The sequence below is a fragment of the Homo sapiens genome, chromosome 2 (assembly GCF_000001405.40).
Source record: "Homo sapiens chromosome 2, GRCh38.p14 Primary Assembly".
NCBI classification, from domain to species: Eukaryota; Metazoa; Chordata; class Mammalia; order Primates; family Hominidae; genus Homo; species Homo sapiens.
In genome coordinates, this window is record NC_000002.12 from 208,233,203 (window position 1) to 208,256,226 (window position 23,024).

The 23,024-nt window shown below is 41.5% G+C and overlaps 1 protein-coding gene and 1 long non-coding RNA gene across 4 annotated transcripts, besides 2 other annotated features; one reads left to right on the plus strand and one right to left on the minus strand.

Moving 5' to 3' along the window:
* IDH1 (isocitrate dehydrogenase (NADP(+)) 1) lies at positions 3,025 to 21,869 on the minus strand. 3 transcript variants are annotated; one of them, NM_001282386.1, is given in 10 exon segments: positions 3,025 to 3,967; positions 5,869 to 6,031; positions 6,661 to 6,801; positions 8,792 to 8,943; positions 10,225 to 10,402; positions 12,117 to 12,222; positions 15,167 to 15,458; positions 18,228 to 18,365; positions 20,684 to 20,757; positions 21,141 to 21,256. In NM_001282386.1, coding segments are annotated over 8 exon segments (1,245 nt in total). In that variant the 5' UTR covers positions 18,350 to 18,365; positions 20,684 to 20,757; positions 21,141 to 21,256; the 3' UTR covers positions 3,025 to 3,876.
* Positions 21,014 to 21,123: a silencer, noted in NCBI's record as "silent region_12288". NCBI's record gives its function as "represses an Ori minimal core promoter by ATAC-STARR-seq in GM12878 lymphoblastoid cells {active_cell/tissue: GM12878}" and the evidence as "EXISTENCE:reporter gene assay evidence [ECO:0000049][PMID:35858748]".
* Positions 21,577 to 22,103: an enhancer, noted in NCBI's record as "H3K27ac hESC enhancer chr2:209119503-209120029 (GRCh37/hg19 assembly coordinates)". NCBI's record gives its function as "activates a minimal SCP1, AML or CMV promoter by ChIP-STARR-seq in naive H9 embryonic stem cells {active_cell/tissue: H9 hESC(naive)}" and the evidence as "EXISTENCE:reporter gene assay evidence [ECO:0000049][PMID:30033119]".
* Positions 22,031 to 22,992, plus strand: IDH1-AS1 (IDH1 antisense RNA 1). Its single transcript, NR_046452.1, is given in 2 exon segments — positions 22,031 to 22,229; positions 22,701 to 22,992. It is a non-coding gene; the product is annotated as an IDH1 antisense RNA 1 (long non-coding RNA).

Below are 23,024 nucleotides of genomic sequence, written 5' to 3' on the forward strand. Positions count from 1 at the left end.
CTGATGTATTTTGCAACTTTGGTAAAAGTAGTAGAAACAAAACACTTTTTTTTTTTTTTTTTTGGAGACGGAATCTCACTCTGTTGCCCAGGATGGAGTGCAGTGGTACAATCTCAGCTCACTGCAACCTCCGCCTCCCCGGTTCAAGGGATTCTCCTGCCTCAGCCCCCTGAGTAGCTGGGACTACAGGTGACCACCACCATGCCTGGCTAATTTTTGTATTTTTAGTAGAGACGGGGTTTCGCCATGTTGGCTAGGCTGGTCTTGACCTCAAGAGATCCGCCTGCCTCAGCCTCCCAAAGTGCTGGGATTACAGGTGTGAGCCACCATGCCCGGCCCAAAACTCTTTTAAAATTTATTAAAATCTTGTTAATGAAAGAGGAAATGGATGCTCTAACAGTTATGAAGAGTTTACCAGGCAAAAATCTGAAAAAAGAGTAATAAGTTTATTTTTTAAAATTTTTATTATTTTTTTGAGATGGAGTCTCATTCCGTTGCCCAGGCTGGACTGCGGTGGCATAATCTTGGCTCACTGCAACCTCTGCCTCCCAGGTTCAAGTGTTTCTCTTGCTTCTGCCTCCTGAGTAACTACAACCACCACGCCTGGCTAATTTTTGTATTTTTAGTAGAGATGGGGTTTCACCATGTTGGCCAGGCTGGTCTCGAACTCCTGACCTCAAGCCTCCTAAAATGCTGGGATTACAAGCATGAACCACTGTGCTCAGCTGAGTAATAAGTTTAGATGAGAGGAGGAGAGTGCAAAACACATTTTATTTGACAATTTTTTTTGGATGTAAAGTTTAAAATGTTAAAACAATTTGAATTTTATAAAAAGCCAAATATGTAATAATCTGAAGAACACTACATTTAACCAGTATATTGGACATCAAAGGGCTTTAAATATGTTTTTGGCTGGGTGCGGTGGCTCACGCCTGTAATCCCAGCACCTTGGGAGGCCAAGGTGGAAGGTTGGGAGTTCAAGACCAGCCTGGCCAACATGGTGAAACCCCATCTCTATTAAAAATACAAAAATTAGCCAGGCTTGGTGGCCGGCACCTGTAATCCCAGCTACTTGGGAGGCTGAGGCAGGTGAATTGCTTGGACCCAGGAGGCGGAGGCTGCAGTGAGGCAAGATCACACCGTTGCACTCTAGCCTGGGCAAAAGAGCAAGACTCCATCTCAGAAAAAAAAAAAAAAATCTATTTTCCAAAGAGAGAAAGACCTGTGGCCTTTTGGAAGAAAATATCAGCTCCACCTTTAAGTTAATTATTAATAACATCTCTAATTTTTTGCTTTCTCATAAAAAAATCAGTGCTATAGAGTCAACTTCTTAAGACTTTGGTGAGAATTAAATGAGATAGTATGAAGGCACATAAAAAGAATTTACATTCCTTTTCCTTATAATCCCAATCTATCCTATTAAAAAAACTTACAGGTATTAATGTTAAAATGAGTCATTGGCATGTCGTTATATTGAGGCAAAGACTAGTTGAATTTATCAGCAAAAAGCCACCAGAGAAACAACGATTATGTGTCTTGTATTCTAATTTACGTAGATCTCTATTCTTTTTACAAAACTACAGATAATATAGGTTATAAAATCTTTTACTGAAAAATCTTAAAAATCTTACATGAGATGAAAATATTTATTGCCTCTTTCTTGATGTTAACTAGAAGCAATGCTTTTTTTTTTTTCCTACCACCTGAGTGACCTGACACTGGTTGATCTCATGTGAAAATTGATTTTTATTTCCCTTGCCAGGAGAGCTCATGTGGTTTGGATTCTAACTTCAATTTGGCCAGGAATAAATTGCCCAAGCCACATGGGCCTCCCCTACTTCATGAGAATCTCCTCTCAACAGGGTGTTCTAGGACTGTGGGCTTGGATTTGGATGTATTTTGGGGGTAGCACTGAGGGAAATTGGTCAAAAGCTCATTCTGAATAAGCTCCATGCCATCGGATTCTGAAAGGCTCCATGTTTCATTGGGCCTTCAAGGGGATTTGTGTAGAGCAGTGTCTGGGGCCCAACTCCAAGCTTGCCAGGAAGGTAGACTAGAAATTACCAAGGGTCCCCACCCCAACTCACTGACTTCTGACGTGTGAGAGCGCAAAAGCTCACCAGGGCCTCCCTCCCAGAGATGCTAGGATGTGGAGCAGCCTTTCCCCAGGTGTGAAGCCAGAAAGTGGGAAGCATCTTTGACTTGCTGCTGTCCCTCCATCCCCACATATCCTTGGTCTTGCCAAGACCCATCCATTCAACTTCCTTATCCCAGGGATTATCCCGTTCTCTTCCTGGTGCCACTGTTCCAGTCAGATCTTCATCATTTCCCACTAAAGTATCGCAACAGCCTCCTAACTGGTCCTCCTTCCTCAACTGCACCCAACAGTCTCCTCCCCACCCCAAACCATCCATTCTTTTTTCGTTTTTTTGAGACGGAGTCTCACTTTGTCATCCAGGCTGGAGTGCGGTGGTACGATCTCAGCTCACTACAACCTCCACCTCTCAGGTTCAAGCGATTCTTCTGCCTCAGCCTCCCAAGTAGCTGGGACTACAGGTGTGCGCCACCACACCTGGCTAATTTTTGTATTTTCAGTAGAGATGGGGTTTCACCGTATTGGCCAGGCTGGTCTCGAACTCCTGACCTTGTGATCTGCCTGCCTTGGCCTCTCAAAGCCACTATCCATTTTTTATCAAAGTTTCCCAGAGTGCTATTTTTAAAAATAAAAATATGATCAAGTCCCTTATTTCTTAAAAGTCTTCATTGGCTCCCTAATCATTTATAAGATAATGACTAAACTCCTTAGCATGTGCATAGACATAATCTATTCTCTAATATTCCTTAATTCTTCCTGTAGTTCCCTCTTTGGTCCTCTTTCCTTTCACTGCAGGATCTACATCTTACTATTTACTTATCTATTTCCACCATGGTAAACTTTTTAAGAGCAGAGAATTTTTTCAGATTACACTCCTATGGCTAGGATGTAGCGTGGTGCTTGGCATCCAATAAACAGAAACGCAGAAGAATGGTAATTAGCACTTAATTTTAATTAAAATCAACAGTTCAGGAGAAGATAAGATAGTGTTTAATATCAATTTCTGAGAAATCACATTTATATAAAAGAAATAAAACAGGCCAGCAGAAGTCCAAAAAAGATTCAGCTTACATTATTGCACTTGGATGAAATATGCTATTTAGAGTAGTATAATATTCAGGCCAGGCCAGGAGGAGAAAGAGAAAAATGGAGAGGACAAACCTCCAGGTAGTATTTATTCCGGATTCCAAACTCTCCTGCGGCCTAAACAGTATTTAGTCTATTGGAAACATTCAGCAAGGTCTTTACAAAAATGACTGCAGTATCTTCAACACATTTGAGTTGCACTCCTACTTCGTTCCAGTCATGTGCAAGTTTAATGCACAGCTCTACCTCACAAAACGGGATATCTATGACACCAGAACTTCCCTGTGCCCAAGGTCATGGACAGGAGGGGAAGGCAGTGAATTTCTACTTTATGCATATTTTAGGGAGCAATACTGTGGCTATCATTTACCCTTTTGAGCAATCTTGATTTTGGTCATTTATAATTAGAACATGAGAAAAAGTGACAGTGAATACAAATGAGTACTAACCGAATTCCTAGGCTGGTACTAGAAAATAAAATAAAAATTGTAAAAAAGTCCCTTGCCATGTTCACAAAGGTGGCAATAACTGTATATATAAGAAAAAGGCTGTAAACTTATAGAAAAGATAAACTCTGGCTTCTAAACAAATTACAAAATTGATTTTGCCTTTATCCTTGAGTGTAACACAGAAAAATGTAAACCTGTAGACCTAGTTACCAAAAGACAATTATCCTTCTTAGCTCAGGTATGAACTTAAAGTTTGGCCTGAGCTAGTTTGATCTTCAAGTTTTCTCCAAGTTTATCCATGAACTCAAATGTATTCAAGTAGTCAGAACGTTGCACACTAACGGGAAGGAAAAAAAAAAGAAAATTTAGTTGGTCTCTGATATGGTAGCAGGTAGTGGTAAAGTCCTAGAAATGCTACTTAAAATAGTATTCTATTTGTTTCTGGAAGAAAACGCATTCATGTTAGTAAGCTACAAAATCTATAGACAATGACTATGTTCAGGGTTCCTGGGGCTGACCCAGGCTCAGTACTCAGGCTCTCTAGGCAACCGGCAGTAGAGACAGCCATACATACTCAGTTAGGTTTCTTGCTATGTAGCTTTGGGGGTGAAATTATCATTGAGTTTCGGTTCAGACTAATGCTGCTGAGACCAAAATCATCACACTTCTTCCTCATTCTTAAACATAACAAAACTTATTCAGGGCATAGCCAAACCTTTACCCACCTTCCCACAAACCGTTACATGTCCTTAAAAAAAGTTATAATGTTGTTATTTCTATCAGTGTCTTAAGAAAAACAAAAGACAGGCCGGGCCTGGTGGCTCACGCCTATAATCCCAGCACTTTGGGGGGCCAAGGCGGGTGGATCATGAGGTCAGGAGATGGAGACCATCCTGGCTAACAAAGTGAAACCCCGTCTCTACTAAAAATACAAAAAAAAAAAAAAAAAAATTAGCCGGGTGTTGTGGCACAAGTCCCAGCTACTTGGGAGGCTGAGGCAGAAGAATCACTTGAACCCAGGAGGCGGAGGTTGCAGTGAGCGAAGATCACGCCACTGCACTCCAGCCTGGGCAAAGCGAGACTCTGTCTCAATAAAAAGAAAAAAAAAGAAAAACAAAAGACAGGATAACATAATCCTGCTGACAGGTGCCTGTTAAATAGGCTACAAAGGTATTCCACTGATAAGACCATTTTGAACACTGCAATCTTTTTTTTTTTTTTGAGATGGAGTCTCGCTCTGTCACGCAGGCTGGAGTGCAGTGGCACCATCTCGGCTCACTGCAAGCTCCGCCTCCCAGGTTCACGCCATTCTCCTGCCTCAGCCTCCCGAGTAGCTGGGACTACAGGTGCCCGCCACCACGCCTGGTTAATTTTTTGTATTTTTAGTGGAGATGGGGTTTCACTGTGTTAGCCAGGATGGTCTTGATCTCCTGACCTCGTGATCCACCCACCTCGGCCTCCCAAAGTGCTAGGATTACAGGCATGAGCCACAGCACCCAGCGAACACTGCAATCTTGTTGGAAATTTAAATTAAGAAACATGCAGTGACCAAGTATATCCCCATTATGGGGTATACTGACCCTACCTGGGACCTCTGCAGATGCACTGGTTGAGATATGGAGACAATCCCCCCAGGATACTGGCTACTATGTTCTCAGAAAAATTCTCAGTAAACATATGGGCTGTCAAATATTTGCCCAAATATTGGTTACAGATACTTAAGGGACTGTAATCAATTGCACACCTTAAACTTGTGCTGCTCACTTTTCTCATCAGTAAGTTAAAGAAAATAAAGGAGTAGAATAAAATAGCCTCTGAAGTATCTTTGTTTCTATTTGTCTATAATCTGCTTCTTAAAATTAAATAGAACCTTTTCGTTCAATGATTATCAACTAGATGGGATGTCAGCAAATTACAGCCCAGCACATGAACCAAATCGAGGCTGGTTTTGAACATAAAAGTTTGATTGGTACCAGCCACACCATTTGATTCTGTATTGTCTATGACTGCTTTCCTGCTACAATGGCAGAGGCAAAGTTGAATAGTTGTGTAGTTGCAAAAAGACTATATGTTCCACAAAGCCTAAAATGTTCACTATCTGACAATTTACAGATATCTGCTGACTCCTGAACTAGATGATGAATAACAATTTATATAATTCCAGAAAGCACCGATGCTCTGAGCCCAGTGAGGATAAGTGTTAATTTGACCATAGAAACTAGGGCATCTTATACTTACTTGGGTAAACCTTTAATGCAAGCAGCCAAGTCCTTGGTCATGAAGCCAGCCTCAATTGTCTCAATAGAGACTTCTTCCAAAGCATTTGCAAAGAAGGCAAGCTCTTTATTGTTATCAAGCTTTGCTCTGTGGGCTAACCCTCTGGTCCAGGCAAAAATGGAAGCTAAAAGAGGGGAAAAAAAACACAACACTCCAATCATCCTAGTTATAGAGGTTTCCAAATGTCTCATAGTTCCCCAAAACAGAATAGTTTTTTGTTTAGGTGACAGACTTCTTTAGATACTAACCACATGGGCTAGAAGTTTTAGGAGAGTTAGAAATATTTTACCAAACAGAAACTTTAAAAAAACACATTTTCATGGCATGGTACTAGTGTTTGAAACTTAAGGCATTTTCTAATTTGAAAAAGGTCACAATCTCTTCTATCTCTTGTCTATATTGGTCTCCTTTTTCCAGGCTGTAATCTCTTTTTGAAGTGCTATCTTTGAAACTTGTTAAAAGGATCTATCCATGTGACTTTTAGATTTGTAGCCTTATGTGACATTTCACTGCACCAGAGGTAAAGGAAAATGCTTGTTGATAACATTCCTCTCTGTAACCTATGTTCTCCCACAAAACAGAAAAGCAAATATTGTATATTTTAAGAAGCATATTCAAATAGATCTTACTAGTAGAACAAATCAGCTACTTGGTGATGACTTTGCACACAAAACACTGAGCAGCCAAGGGAACACATCTGGGCTGCTTTGGAGAGCACTCTCTGGTGAGAAATCAATGTAAACACCATCTTACCAATGGGATTGGTGGACGTCTCCTGTCCTTTCTGGTACATGCGGTAGTGACGGGTTACAGTCCCGTGGGCAGCCTCTGCTTCTACTGTCTTGCCATCTGGACAAACCAGCACGCTGGTCATCATGCCGAGAGAGCCATACCCTGTAAGTAGTGGAGCATGAAGCGTTGGGTCCAACTGCATGAAGAGCACTGAGTCTCTCAGAGATGAGAGCATAAATGACTCAATCTTGATAGGTCTTGGTAAGCAAAGTAAACAAGAGCACATGGAATCACCAATAATTCTGCCTTTCAGAAGGCAGGATCCCCGCTCCAGATATCAGAGCCAATGGGTCTGGAAAGGCTGCATTTTCCCCTCACTTATTTCAGGGATACCTACTCCTTGATGGAGGGTTCAGGGTCCAACTGCCTACATTCCACTCTAGTTCTATGACTTCATAGCTACTGCGGCTCAGTTTTCTTATCTGTAAAATGGGAGTAATAACAGCACCTACTTCACTAGGTTGCTGTGGGATTAGATAAATATACATATATTCATAAATATATATGAATATATATTTATATTCCTTAGAATAGTACTGGACACAGAGCTCAATCTATTATTGTTATTCTTATGTGCAATGCTCTGCTGTTCTGGGGAAATAAAGATGGACGAGAGCTGTCTCTTAAGAACCCTCAAGCTGCTCATACACTTGCTGGGACTGGGAAGAGAAGGCAGGTAAACACAGGATCGGTTGGATCTAAGAACATCCCAGTTGCCCTTCCTCGCTCTCTTTCATACCCTCAGTACAACAGTTCTCTTCTGTGGTTTCTTATTGAAAGAACCACATTACAACTCTTATATCTATATAATTGATTTTCTTCTTTTCTCCATTTTTGCTACCTCCCAACATCACCTGTGAAGTTAATAATCAACCACGGAGTCATCACAAAGCAATAACACTCCTTCCTCTGTTGCATTCAGTACAAATGATTGTGAGGATGTAGAGAAACAGAAGGATGGTAAGGAGAGTTGTGTAACTCATTTATCTGGCAAAAAGTTATCTTTAACCAGGTTGATCTACTGATTTTCAAACTGAGAGGAGATGTTTAACACTGATAAGAGACAGAAAAAGTAGTACTTCTTGGGAAAAACAAACATAATTAAAGTTAACAAACATTCATCTGGGGAGATTCAAGTTCATACAGCTACCAAGGGCAACTGAAACTGAAGGGCAACTTGGTGCTGAGGAAACCAGGCGCTGTGTTTCTGTTGATTTGGCCCTTACCCCATGCATGAAACTTCTCCTGGAATTTCTGTAAACAGCCCCTAGGGTTCTTTGCTCAATTGATTTGTGTGTAAGCTAAGCAGTAAACAAAAACACTTTTTCTTTGTTGTTGTTGAGACAAGAGTCTTGCTCTGTTGCCCAGGCTGGAGTATAGTGGCGTGATCTCAGCTCACTGCAACCTCCGCTTCCCAGGCTCAAGAAATTCTCATGCTTTAGCCTCCTGAGTGCCAGGGACTATAGGCATGCGACCACACCTGGCTAATTTTTTTTTTTTTTTTTTTTTGAAGTAGAGATGGGGTTTTGCTATGTTGGCCAGGCTGGTCTTGAACTCCTGGCCTCAAGTGATCCACTGCCTTGGCCTCTCAAAGTGCTAGGATTACAGGCGTGAGCCACTGTGCCCAGCCAAACACATTTGTTTTATATTCTACCAGAACAGCAGCTGGCAGAGGGACATGAGTAGGTCCTGCTGCCCAATAAATGAGCTTTGCAGGCACCAAAGCTTGGTTATGACATGATCAAGCTCCTCACTTTATCCCTCCTTGCCTGAGTGCCCTGGTTTTTTACATTTTCACCAAAGGACAAGGAGGGCAGGGAAAGGGAGTGATTTTCAGATCAGGTAGGCTTTAAAACTTCAAGGAGTGACACTGGAGCCAGGAGTGTCAATCCACTAATTTACTTCCCATGTGGTCTTGAGTAAATCATTTCTCTAGTCTGAGCTTAATTTCCTTAGCTGTCAGGTAAGACGGTGGACCTGGAGGTTTAACATTCCAAGATTTTACAACAAAGGACTACAAAACTCCCCTTCCCAAATTAGAGAACTACCCTGGAATGACCCTGTTCCTACAGGCCAGGCTCCACCTCTGTACCTTGGGCCACAGAGTCCGACTGCACGTCACCATCATAGTTTTTACAGGCCCAGATGAAGCCTCCCTCTGATTTCATAGCTTGGGCCACCATGTCGTCGATGAGCCTATGCTCATACCAGATCTTTTGAGCTTCAAACTGGGACTTGTACTGCCTGGGAAACAAAAGGTAAAAGAGAATAATAATAAAGAAAATTGATTTTGTTAGGGATATCATCTGCTTGTCCCAAACAGAAGACCGGACACACAAGAAGCAGCATATTTTAGTAGAAGTAGCAGAAACTCAGGAATCTGACAGACATTGGCTCAAATCCTAGCCCAATCATTTTCTAACTGTAAAACTCAATTTGACTATCTGTAGGAACAATTTTACCCACCTTGCAGGGAAGCCGTGAGAATTAAGTGAGACAGTAGAGTATCCCAATGACTACTTCACTTTTCAGTTTTCATTATACTATAGATCAGATTCTTGAGATTCAGCTTATTTTTAAAATACATTTTTGAAAAGACTGTTCTACTTCTTGGTGTCATTCAGGAAACTAAAATATATTCCAGACAGTTTCTGGGCTTGGTATAGATGGGCAGCAGGAGGAGGAATCAAAATGCCTCAGGAACATTTTGGCCTGAACACTTGCACCTAAAGGGAGTTATGCCAATCTTAAATATTAACACATGCTCACCTCCTGTGCTGTGGAAGCCAGTGTTGTTATAAACTTAGACTTAAGTTCAAATGACTCCACTAAAACAGAATTTTAAATTCTTTTTTTTCTTTTCTTTTCTTTTTTTTTTTTTGAGACGGAGTCTCGCTCTGTCGCCCAGGCTGCAGTGCAGTGGCGTGATTTCGGCTCACTGCAACCTCCGCCTCCCGGGTTCACGCCATTCTCCTGCCTCAGCCTCCCCAGTAACTGGGACTAGAGGCGCCCGCCACCACGCCCGGCTAATTTTTGGTATTTTTAGTAGAGTCAGGGTTTCACCGTGTTAGCCAGGATGGTCTCGATCTCCTGACCTCGTGATCCGCCCGCCTCGGCCTCCCAAAGTGCTGGGATTACAGGCATGAGCCACCGTGCCTGGCCAACAGAATTTTAAATTCTAACAATGGGCTTCAGAAAGAATGGAAATGGGTCTGACTTAGAAACTCACACATGAAAAATTAGAACTTATCACTAACAGCGTACGTTTATTTAAACATTAAAGAACCTGGCTCTGAAAACAATTCATGTGGGGACCTTATTTAAGAACATGTTTATCTTATAAAAGCAAGTCAGAGTGGTTTTGTTTCACTCCTGCTAAACCTCAGTTTTGCCCTTATCTTTAAGAGACAGTGATGATTTTCACTCAATTTACCCAGAATCATAGGGATAGGGAGATACATACTCTATATGCAAATGTCAGCTTACTTGAGAATAAAGAAAAAGTTAAAAAAGAACTATAGTTACTTGTCATATATCTCCTGAAAGATGTCTTTAAAACGCCCATCATATTTCTTCAGAATAGTGTTTTTGGTGCTCAGATACAAAGGCCAACCCTTAGACAGAGCCATTTGGAAGGAACTGTGTGCAAAATCTTCAATTGACTTATCTTGATTATACATCCCCATGGCAACACCACCACCTTCTGTAGAGGAGAAGCCAGTGAGAGGAAAAAAGGGAGAAGAATAAATGTAATGTAGTTGTAATAAGGCTAAAATCACCCACCACAACCAAATGACCTACTTCTCAGCTCTCACATCTGAGACTAGATTTCAGAAGTCCCAGACAGGTTTCCAACAAATTTCTGAGGCACATAATGAGAGAAAAGCCAGTTCTAGATAAGGACATTCTAACTTGTTTTGGAAGGACAGCAGAAATGAAAAAACATACAGTCTTTAAAATCCTGAAGATGCAGAAATGCCAAAAACTGATATGAACCAGAAATACATTTAAGAAAAGGCAAATAATTTTGAAACTTCTTTTACATACTGATATGGTTTGGATATTTGTCCCTTCCAAATCTCATGTTGAAATGTGATTCCCAGTGTTGGAGGTGGGGCCCAGTGGGAGGAGATTGGAACATGGGGTTGGATCCCTTATGAATGGCTTAGGACCATCCCCTTTGGTGATTACGTGAGTTCTCGCTCAGTTAATTCACTTGAAATCTGGTTGTTTAAGAGTCTGGGACCTCCCCCTTCTCTTTCTCTTGTTCCCGCTCTTGCCATGTGATACACCTATTGTCTGTTTGCCTTCTGCCAAGATTGGAAGCTTCCTGAGGCCCTCACCAGGAACAGGTGTTGGAGCCAGGCTTGTACAGCCTGCAGAACCATGAGCCAATTAAACCTCTTTTCTTTATAACTTACGCAGCCTCAGGTATTTCTTTATAGCAACGCAAGAATGGACAAACACCCTACCTTTACAATTCCCAACATCTATTTTAAACTTTAGGGGTGTACTCAATCCTCAGTTATTGAGAAAAACTTAAATTTCAAATACTGAATGAAAATTCTTATAATCTCCTGGAGGATACTGAGCACTCCTACTGTAGTTGGTAGAAATAAGTAGAAATAATTATGCTACATGTAATCACTGTGTTTTACAACTATTATTGAACTTTGTTATTACTTAAAGATAGAACTTGAATCCATGCCAATGCTCAGGGTTAACTTGGGTTCAGGGTGAAAGGTGCTGAAGCCTGCAGAACCAGATTCCAACAGATATTATTTGGAAGAGGCAAGAAAAACAAAAGGTAGGTGAGTGTTGGGTATTTTTGTTTGTGTGAGTGCTTTCAACAACTTCAATAGTGAAGGAAAAGGGCCCACTAATTATTTCAACAACTTTTGGGTGGGATTTGCCATCAAAGGTAGCAGGGTAGCTGGGAAAGAAAAGGCAAAAAGCAAATGTTCTACTTTTTCACAGGATAAATACCCAGAAGGGCAAGAAGAAAACTTCAGCAAATATATAAGGAAACCTCTTCCAGATACAAGAGCCCTACCAGAGCAAAGGGCAGGATTATATGCTGGGTGATTTGAGAATATTAATATTTAATGTATATAATTCATGCACAGCAGATTTCTGCCAACCTTCTCTCTGTGCTTTAAGATAAATGCATAATCATCTCCTTGTCTTTGCCTAAAGGCATTTCCAATTAAGTGGGTAACCCTTTTGTGCCTTTATTCATGCCACAGGAAGGTATGGAAGCAAATTACTTCTTTATGTCAAGTTTCGGGTTTTGCAAAAACACTGTAGATTCAGATTATATTTTTAGGCAGTCACATAACTAACAAAAAAAGCAATAAAAATATTATCTAAATCATTTGTTTAAAAAAAAAAGAAGCTTATGCTACAGTCATACATACCTTCAAAGTTATGTACCAGGTATGTCACCTTTTGGGTTCCGTCACTTGGTGTGTAGGTTATCTCTACTTTTCCAGGCCCAGGAACAACAAAATCAGTTGCTCTGTACTGTGTAGAGGGGAAAAAGGTATAAAGAAAAAAAAAATACCCTAGCAGGAATTGTAAGGAGAATATTCATATAATATAGACCTAGAAGACACCTAGACAAATAGGGCAGTATGTCAAACTTCTTTTTTTTTTTTTTTTTTTAGGAGATGGGGATGAAGAGGTCCAGACATTCCCCTAAATCAGTAAATATTTATTAGGTGCCTATACGAGGTATAGGAAAGTTTTCTGAGCACTGATTTGAAGAGGACAGAGAATAACATAAGCCACTTTCCTTTAGGAAGTTTACAACCCTATAAAGACATATATAAGTGAAAAGCAATATAAGAGCTTTCAAATGCCAAAAGAGGGTATTAGACCCCCCCCCCAAAAAAAAAAAAACTATAGGATGACAGAGGAAAAGAGGTGACCATGGAAGGAAGTCAGGGAAGTCTCCCTAGAGGGTGATGATAACAATACTAATTGTAGTACTGAGGTAGCTAATGCTTTGTCCTTACTCTATGCCAGATGCTTTAAATGCTTAACTTGCATAATCTCATTTGATTCTTACATCAGTCTTACAAGGAGGGAACTATGATATAGTAGAAATAATGCATCCAGGGTCAAAGGACTTGAGGTCTCGTCCTTACTTAGGCCATCGGGGCTCGGTCTCTCATGGTATCATTGTTACTAGTGTTATAGGACTTGTTCATATGGAGCAATCAAATCATTCTGGGAGCAGCTACAATGGGATGATGATGATTTTTAGGAAAGGGCTGTTCAAGGACAGGCACCTCCCTCATGGGCCTCAGCTACTCAGTGGAATAATATGCCTGGCATATACTAGACATCCATAAGTCTTTGCTGCATTGTATCTTCTTCAATGAATTGAATCAGATACTTGCAGAGTTAGGTACCAGCAGGTGCCGGCCACATCTATAAGTGTAGAGAAATACTAATAACAACTGGTAAAAGAGCAGTAAGTAACAATAAAGATTAAACACCTACTTTACACAGAACATTTTTGACATATAAAATCCATAAAGTAAATATGGGTGGTAATTTATTACTATTTCTGAAAAGGGAGAAACTGAGGTACCAAAGCACCATAAATGCTTTGTATAGGTTTATGTATATTTAAACAGTCCATGAATCAACCTGAGGTTTGAAATTCTCTTTCTGGACTTTAATAAATAGAATGGCCATTTTTACAAATGACTGATGCCAAAATAATTAAAAAAAAAAAAAAAAAGAGGAAGGCCGGGCATGGTGGCATGCCTGTAATCCCAGCACTTTGGGAGGCGGAGGCGGAGGCGGGCGGATCACAAGGTCAGGAGTTTGAGACCAGCCTGACCAACATGGTGAAACCCCGTCTCTACTAAAAACACAAAAATTAGCCGGGCATGGTAGCATGTGCCTGTAATCCCAGCTACTCAAGAGGCTGAGGCAGGAGAATTGCTTGAACCCGGGAGGCAGAGGTTGCAGTGAGCCAAGATCACACCACTGCACTCCAGCCTGGGCGACAGAGCGAGACTCTGTCTCAAAAACAAAAAACAAAAAGGATATACGCAGAAAAAAGGCACGACTGAACTGGAAAGAATCTAGGGTGATTTTTACAAGATTAGCGAGTTTGCACCACTGCCATCTACCTTCCCTTGCTTGGGCCCCTGGGAGCTATTTCTGAAGGCTTTGGCCAGGATGAAAGGATAGTTTTAGCCACAGAGTGGAACAAAGTTAACTGACCCCTCAAGGACTAAACTGTTTACCCTCAACACACTGTTTTCAATGATGGCTACATTAAAACCTCTGGATTTCAGCATGAGAGATTCCTGTTTTTAAGGTCCTTTTAAGACATAAACTACTTTCTGTGAAAGTCTGAAACCTCAGTTTCAACACTGAACTTTGATTTTGTTTACTTGGCAGTTTTTTTGCTTAATTTGGCAACAAGTGTACTGGTACAGAAGTAAAGAAGCAATACTTTTTTTCCAGGCAGGAAGGAATGCTTTAGTAAGGCTGCTTTCAACTACCGAGTCAGTTTTTTTTTTCTTTTTCTTTTTCGAGACAGGGTCTTGCTCTGTTGCGTAGGCAGTGGTGTGATCATAGCTCATAGCTGTAACCTTGAACTCCTAGGCTTAAGGGATCCTCAGGCCTCAGCCTTCCAAGTAGCTGGGACTATAGGCACATGCCACCCCACTCAGCTTCGCCTACTCACTTTGTATATGAATAAACAAAACTGGCTCTTCCATGAACAATTGACATAATTATTGAAATACTTTTCATTTTTGTAGAGACAGGGTTCTGCTATGTTGTCCAGGCTAGTCTCAAACTCCTGGCCTCAAGCAGTGCTTCCAAATTGGCCTCCAAAGTGCTAGGATTACAGGTGTGAACCATAGTACCCAGCCAGTTTTTTCTTTTATGCATGATGGGATCATGTTTAATACAATCTTTGGTGGTTCTCAAGTTTGCACATTAGATTCACCTGGGGAGCTTTAAAATGCCTGAACCCCATGGAATTCAGATTTTAATTTGTGTAGGGTGGTACTCAAGCATTGAAACTAAAACAAAGAAACAAATCAAGCAAAGCAAAACAAAACCACCAAAAAAACTTGTAAGGGGATCCTATTGTGCAGCCAGTGTTGAAAACCACAGATCTGGTTGAACCATATGAAATTACCAACATAAAAATGGCAATATCATATGGTATAACTGAATAAAAGGATAAAGGAAAAAAAACAGCATGTTTGAAAAAAAATGTGTTGAGATGGACGCCTATTTGTAAGTTTATTTGTATTTGCCTTTAGCTAAATGTGTGTAAATATACAGTTATACATATATGCATTTCTCAATTTCATACCTTGCTTAATGGGTGTAGATACCAAAAGATAAGAATAAAACACATACAAGTTGGAAATTTCTGGGCCATGAAAAAAAAAACATGCAAAATCACATTATTGCCAACATGACTTACTTGATCCCCATAAGCATGACGACCTATGATGATAGGTTTTACCCATCCACTCACAAGCCGGGGGATATTTTTGCAGATAATGGCTTCTCTGAAGACCGTGCCACCCAGAATATTTCGTATGGTGCCATTTGGTGATTTCCACATTTGTTTCAACTTGAACTCCTCAACCCTCTTCTCATCAGGAGTGATAGTGGCACATTTGACGCCAACATTATGCTTCTTTATAGCTTCTGCAGCATCCTTGGTGACTTGGTCGTTGGTGGCATCACGATTCTCTATGCCTAAATCATAGCTTGAAAGAGAAAAATTAGAAGCAAAGTTTTTCAGACAAATGGATAGTTATAACCTACAACTGCAGTGATGGCATATAGAGCTCATTATGCAGAAAGCGAAGGCTCTGAGTACACCAAAATCTGCCAAGTTTTAGCACTGGCACACCCTAAACACAGAAGATGGGTGCCAACTACAAAGAGAACTAAGAGAGGCTAGACTGCTGGGCTGCCCCTCCTCTTGTAATGGGAAGCTGTCTATCAGGAAAATGAATGGAAACCATCAAACTCTGCCCTTTGCCTCCTGTTTTTCACCAGATAGAGGCAATAATGGCCTGGTTTCTCTCCATATAATTAGTATAATAAGTGTAAGTCTAAGGACCACCTTTTTCCCTTAGTAAATATTGCTCTTTAAAAATAAAAGGGGGTGGGAGGGGTTAAAGGATTTTTTGTATTTTGACGTTGAAGTGGTGGGAGGTAAAGATGTGACAGTTGATGCCAAAAATGCGAATGACTACTTCATTAATGCCAGTTAGTCATAAAATGAGCCTTTCCCTTTTTTTTTTTTTTTTAGATGAGTCTCGTTTTGTTGCCCAGGCTGGAGTGCAGTGGCACGATCTTGGCTCACTCAACCTCTGCCTTCCTGGGTTCAAGTGATTCCCCCGCCTCAGCCTCCCCAGTAGCGGGGACTACAGGCATGCACCACCATGCCCAGCTAATTCCTTCTGTAATTCTTGAGCAAGTGTTTGCTCTGGAAACAAGCCTACAATTTATTGGGTAAGTAAAGGAATCCATCAATGGTTTTCTACATACCAGAGAGTAATAGCTTAATATACACCAACACAAAGATTGCAGGTCATTCAGAGCTGAAAGAATGTTAGTTGTCCAGGGAGCATAGAAAATGACTGCAAAGCTTTATTTGAAGCATGCAATAGTTTGTTAAAAAGCAAGAAAACAAAATAATGTTTTGTTTATTCTGTTCTCCAAGGATTTAAAAGGTTTTTCAGCTCTTAAAACCTGCCTCTAGATTTCTTTTTGGTTCCCTTATCTTCCTTTCTTAGATCTCCTACCCAACTCATGATGCAAACAAAGAGATAGTAATCTTGACATATTTCCAAATAAAAATAACTTCCAACTGCTTCGACTTTAGATAATTCATATAAATCTAACAAAGTCATGTCCTTTGTTATCTTCTTGCATAGGAAATGTTGATCCAATCCCAACTCCAACAGGAAGTATGATCAGTAGTTTTCAAGTTCCTAGGAACCATTTCTCATAAGGAGAATCTATCAGCAAATTATTAGATTTTTTGCTTGTCTTCTTAACATTTCTAAGAAGATAAGAAAGGAAGGAACAAATTGCCCAGACCACTGTCCAGCCTACATAAAACAAACTACCTGCTCCATTCTCCTGAAAAAGAACCAGTCAGTGATAATAATAGGAATTTTGGAAAAATTTAAAACTTGTTTGAGCCTCCAAAAATTATCTAGTCTGCAGCCACCAAATTTTTTCCTCCTAGTCATAGTGACTCCCCTTTAAAACTCCTCATGATTCCACACTAAAGAGGCTCAAAGCATCTTTAGTTGCAGCCATTATAAGGAAAAGAACCCTGCCAGTTCACCTACTGTCATGTAAAGTCCTGAAACAGGAGTTCCTAAGATGCTTTTTTTTTTTAACCTAGTTGGAAGATGTTTTTATGCCTAATTTCTTATGTTTGGTTGACTTCTGCAAGTATTTATATCTTATCATGATTTCAATATAGACATCAGCAGCTTAGGTTTAGAACAATTAAAAAGTATGTTTAATGACATTATGTGAATTAAATGTCTCCACTCAAACAGGTCCTTAGGACAAATTTTGATGACTAATTCTGGGCTGAGGCAAACACACTTAGAGTTGCCAATAGTTTGGCTGAAACGTGTTGCTCAATATTTTTCTATGCCAGTCTTCAGCCACTTTACCCTTTTAAAAATTCTATCTCTACCTAAAGGTACAAAGAACAGAAGCAAGTTTATGAAAAACACAGCGAAAAAAATGAGAGAATTACATAGACTTTTGCATCTGTCCCCAGGCACTTTACACACAGGGCAAAGGGACACAGGATTTAAGGGAATTTTGCTGGAAAGGAGGGGTTCAACTAAGAAACATCATGAATTCTTTCTGCACTACAATTGTATGAAAAGGGCAAAAGGTGAGGCATGAAAAGGAAACAGGTCCATTGACTAAGTAAAGTGATAGAAAATTGAGTTTGAAATGACAAAATTGTGTTAACTGCATTTAGTTTACTGTTTCTTACATCCTCTCTTATTTCCCTTTTCTCAATACATTGTACTATTCTTAGCCACTGTTTTATTACAAATAAAACCTTCACAGGAAACAGAAGGTTAGAAGAATCTGAAAATCATTCTTTCCCTTATAATTCTTGACTTTTAGATGATAAATCCAGTTTTTCTAGCAGTATGTTAAAATTAGAAGATTCATCTGAATATATTTAGGCTTAAAACAAACTTTATTCACAAAACACAGCTATATCTATATAAAAAAAGCTAACTTCACCTCAAAATAATTCAGATTATATTCTTTTTTTTTTTCCTGTTTCTCCTTCCCTTTTTTTTCCTTTTTTTTTTAAAGTGATGGGGTCTCACTCTGTTGCCCAGGCTGGACTTGAATTCCTGGTCTTGAGGGATCCTCCTGCCTCTGCCTCCTAAGTAGCTGGGACTTCACGTGTGCACCACCATGCCCAGCCAGATTATCCTTTCTGAGTTTGCTACACGGAGGGGTAACTCATTTACCTATGTAGATCCAATTCCACGTAGGGAAAAATGAGTTTCTCTTTAATCAATTCCCAAATGATTCGTGTCATTTCATCTCCTTGCATCTCTACCACAGAACCGCCACTGATTTTTTTGGACATTTTGACTTCAATAAACCTAAAAAGAAAAAAAAAATACATGCCTTGTCATTTATTTCATTATAAAGTGAAATATATAAACAACGTAGTGTTTATATAAACAACGTAGTGACTACTAAAAGAACAATTCATGCAATTCAATTTATGTGTAGTTGAATAAAAAGCTAGTAACAGCAATTCTATTTACCATTAGAATTGAGTATCTTCTCTGAACAAAGTATTGTGTTATGTTTCACACGCGGTTTCTGAGCTAGCCCTCATAACAATCCAAAAAAATGGCCATCATTTCCCCATTTTACTTTGTTAAAAAAAAAAGAGCTTTCCCAAGGCCACCTAGCTAGAGCGTGGCAGAGCCTGACCCTATAACGTGCCCTTCATAATGCAATCATTATTCTCAACTACTGGTTTGTCTTAAGAAATGAGATTATTTCCACAATCTCATGTTTATTGAACACTTCAGTCCAACTCATCATTTTACTGGGCTCTCAAGATGTCCAGAATGGTGAGTGCTAGCATTTCTCCTCCTTTAAGAGGCTGTTTTTGTTATTTAATAAAAATAACTAGCCATGAGGAGATTCAGCTGGTTCCTGTGACCCATATTCAGGGAAACTTTAAGTCTAAAAGCGAGACGAAGAATTCCTGGTGGAACTGTTTTCCTAGAGATAACACAGACATTGGAGATGTGGGGCTAAATACAACAAAGTGATTTCTCAATTAGAAGAATCTCTATACAGTAGGGCCACTGCCCAGGACCCAAGCATGTCCCTGTCATCTTCTTCTGGCTGTTCACAGGCAAGGGTAAGCTGCTAGTGAGTGGGATAGGACAAACTGTGCATTGTCCTAGGAAGACAGCACTTTAAGGATAGGGTGTGGGGGTAGCATATACAAATCAATCTGATTCTCAGAAAGTGCAAGGTTGGACGCTTTGGAAGAAATGAAACTGTCCCAGCTTGTCCCTAGAGGCAGAAGAAGCTCTGAGCCTGCTAAAAGTTATCTATTCCTTCTAATGATGCTCTAATCGAAACTCTTTTTTAATCCAACAACACAGCTGCAAATTGCTTTTATTCTCTTAAGGACTAAAAAAGTCAAGAGAATTGACTTTAAAGAATTATTAGATAAGAAGCCTAAAATAGTCTTTCTTGAAAAATTGAGCTAAAGTAATTTGGTCTTTAAATAAAAATGTAATGATTAGTAGACAGTAAGCGTCTGTTTCTTGACAAGCCTGGATGTATTTCCAATCCCCAGGCCCATTTTCACTTCCCAAATTCGCAATTCTAGAATTCTTCTTACTAGTGTTTAGGAGATTCCTTTGGGGGAACCTTCTGGAACTGAACTAGACTAAAAGAAATGAACAGAATGGTGTGGATGAGTCAATTACTTCCCATTTGTAATGTCAAGTATAATTTGTAGTACAGCTGAAAGCATATGATTCAGTTCATGTTTGATTCCACTGTCACACCTATCCTTGTTTTAAAACAAAGCAAAAAAGGAGGCAGTGAACTTATCTGGTTCCTGATAATACACTTCCATGGCCATGTCCCTATATAGTATGATGCAACAGTCATGACATGGCAATTTATTCTTGATGGCAAATACAGTTAATAGAGGTCAAATATTGTACCTAAAATGTGAAGACTGATATCTTTTTAGTTCACTATTTCCTTCTCAGTTAAAGCAACTGTACTCTCTGCAGTAATCTTTCTTTATCTCATAATGCATACTTCAGACGCTTCAGGTTTTCCTCACATTACTTAGCCATGAAATTTTTACCATCTTTTAACTAAAACAGTGAAGCTTTATTGTTACTACCATGTGGAACATAATTGTATTTCTTCTGGATCTGATTTCCATGGGATGGGCTTGAGGCCCCACTGGACTGACTTCTCCACCTTTGTTGCCCCTCAGATTTTGTCTCCAACCCAATCCCAACTTCAGAAGGAAGGGCTGTTCCAAGACCAGCAGGCACCAGCTCATATGAAGTAGCTGAATCCTATCTCCTAACATAATTGTGCAATTCCAGAAAATAAACCTGGAATAACAATACAGAGTAGTTTAATGAAAAAAAAGAGCCATTTAATATTATTTTCATCAACCTCAAGTTTTTGGCCAGATTGTTTTTTGCCGAGTTCATGAACTACAATAATTTCTGGGCAAAAAGGATCTCTTGCAGATAAGACACTGTATTAAAAGAAACAAGGAAGCTGTTGGAATTCGTTGTTGGAAATATTCCTCACTCATTCCCTTGCAGTGCCTCGGCCTGCCCCCAAGACCAGTTAAACACTGTACTGCCACATCAAAGAAAGTACAGAAGAAGGGGGAAAATTTGCTAATTCTCACCTTGACAGTGAATAGATTTCTTATCACCCCAGTTCCTCCCAGTCTTGCAGACTCAACTGAATGTAGTTTATCGCCTAAAACAAAACAAGGAATAAAAGTGTTAACATACAGAACACTCACAGGAGAATTTAGCTGTTTTTAGTACCTGCCAGACAGCCCAGTTTATCCGGTTTAAAGTACAGTGCTGAGTGTACTCGGTGGGACAAAGGCCAATTTTAGGCCCGCAGGCACTTTCCAAATAAAGGTCATGGGAGCACAATTTATCTCTGCGTGTGCGAGGGCGTGCCCCCGCTTCGCCGCCCGTTAGCAGGTCTTGGGGTTTGCATGTCCTTGCTCTTGGCCTGCACCCGTCCTTATGGCCGTTGTGCAAGAGGGCTGCAATCAAGGCTGGATCGGTACCTCCTTCCAGGTCTCCACGCCCGCCCCTCCCCTCCCCTCCCCTCGCTGGTGCTGGGACCTTTTAAACTCCAGGCACCCGGAACTGGCGGGGGTGTTTCCCCCAGCCCCCTCTCGCCCCGTGTGGCCTAGCGACCCCTCTGAAGGCCGCTGGAGCTCCGCCCCTCCACGCCCCCTGGCGGACGCGAGGGATCGGCTTCAAGGCTATTCCTCGCCGCCTGAGTTGCCTGCAGACGCCCGTCTGCGGCTTACAGCCTTCTTTGCATCCAGCCCCCAGCTGCTGCACGTTTTCTTCCTCCTACACTCCAGGCTTAGTCTTCTACATGCATTCTTGCAACTTCCACCCCTCGATTTTCCAACCCAAGTGCAGACCTGATTTTCCCCTTGTCGTTGCATCCAACTTCCTCACCGCCCAGTTTCTCCCTCCCAGGCCCAAAAGCAGACCTTCTGCATATCCAAGCATCCAGCATCCCCTCCTTCCCTTTTCTTTTCCCATTCTCAATACCTGGATTTGTTCCCTTCTTTGCACGCAGGCCTTGACTCCCTCCACACCCAAGATCTGCGCTTTTTTCCTTTACCCCATTCCTGCCTTCTGCGGAATTAGAGCCACCCCTCCACAGCCAGGGACCGGGGCCGCCCCTTGGAGCCTGAGGTTACCTGCCGGGATGATATGCTGGCGAAGAGTTGGGGCGCCACAGCCGCTCACAAGCTCAGACTCACAACCACAGCCTGGCAATCCCAAACCGGACTCCCAGTGCCTCCGCTTCTGAAGTAGACTCTGCAGAAACCCGGGACCACAGGGTAGGTCCGAGCTTTTCCTCTTCCCGGCTTTGTCCCCTCCCAGGCCCCGCCTCCTCAGCCCACCTCCCCCAGCCCCGCCCCCGACACGCCTCCAATCGCCACACGCCAATTCCCGTGGGATGGGCGGAGTCAGCGAGAGGGGCGTGGCCACAGTCAAAGATGGAGAATCCATGGTGCCACTTTCCCGGTGATCCCGGTGGGGGAAGGGGTTGCCGCCCGGCAGAGATTCAGTCCCGAATCCCGACAGCGAAGAGACTTGTATGCCACCTGCAGGCCGGGGAGCGGGGCGCGCTGGGGCTGCACCACCCCGAACTTTGTAACAATCTAGAGCACCACAGAGTGTTTCCAGGTCGGCACAAAAGCGAACGGGACAGGGCGCCCTGGGCGGCGGCAGCTTGGCCGGCCCGCTGCCTAGCGCGCCCCCGAGGGGCGGTAATGGAACGTACCTTTGGCTGAAGAAAGAGTGCTCCCGGCCAGCGCGGGGTCGCCTAGGGGGTTCCGCGCTGCCTAATGCAAAGGATGGAAAAGTTACAGAAGCAGGTCCTGACACCACCTATGTCTAGGTCTTTAGAAACTCCATTGATTGTTTGCATTAGAAGATAATGAATGGGATTCTTATTATTTTCTTTTTTAAGACAGGGCCTTGCTCTGTTGCCCTGGCTGGAGTGCAGTGGAGCGATCACCGCTCACTGCAGCCTTGACTTCCTGGGCTCAAGAGATCCTCCCACCTCAGCCTTCCGAGTAGCTGGGATTACAGGTGCACACAATCACACTCAACTAATTTTTCTTTCTTTCTTTTCTTTTCTTTTTCCTTTGGTAGAGATGGGTTTCAGCAGCCCAGGCTGGTCTCGAACTCCTGGACTCAAGTGATTGGCCCTCCTCGGCCTCCCAAAGTCCTGGGATTACAAGCGTGAGCCACCATGCTCAGTTGGCGGGGGATTATCTGTGATCCAATGAAGTTGGACTAGAGATGTGAAGCCTTAGAAAACGGTGGATTGAAAAAAGAATTTTAGTCTCCTCCAGAGATTATATTTTGTGTGTTCATTGCTCTCAAAAACATGAAAATAAAGAGTATTTTATATTGTGATTTGTAGGACAATAGCATGCTTGTATATTGCTGCCCAGAATTTAATGCTCCAATATT

Excerpts from the sequence above, each read along its gene's own strand:
- IDH1 (NM_005896.4), bottom strand. The coding sequence starts at position 18,349 with ATGTCCAAAAAAATCAGTGGCGGTTCTGTGGTAGAGATGCAAGGAGAT. Across the intron at positions 10,403-12,116 it reads CCTGGTACATAACTTTGAAG|AAGGTGGTGGTGTTGCCATG; the intron begins GTATGTATGACT and ends TCTCCTCTACAG. Across the intron at positions 6,802-8,791 it reads GTCGGACTCTGTGGCCCAAG|GGTATGGCTCTCTCGGCATG; the intron begins GTACAGAGGTGG and ends CACTACTTACAG.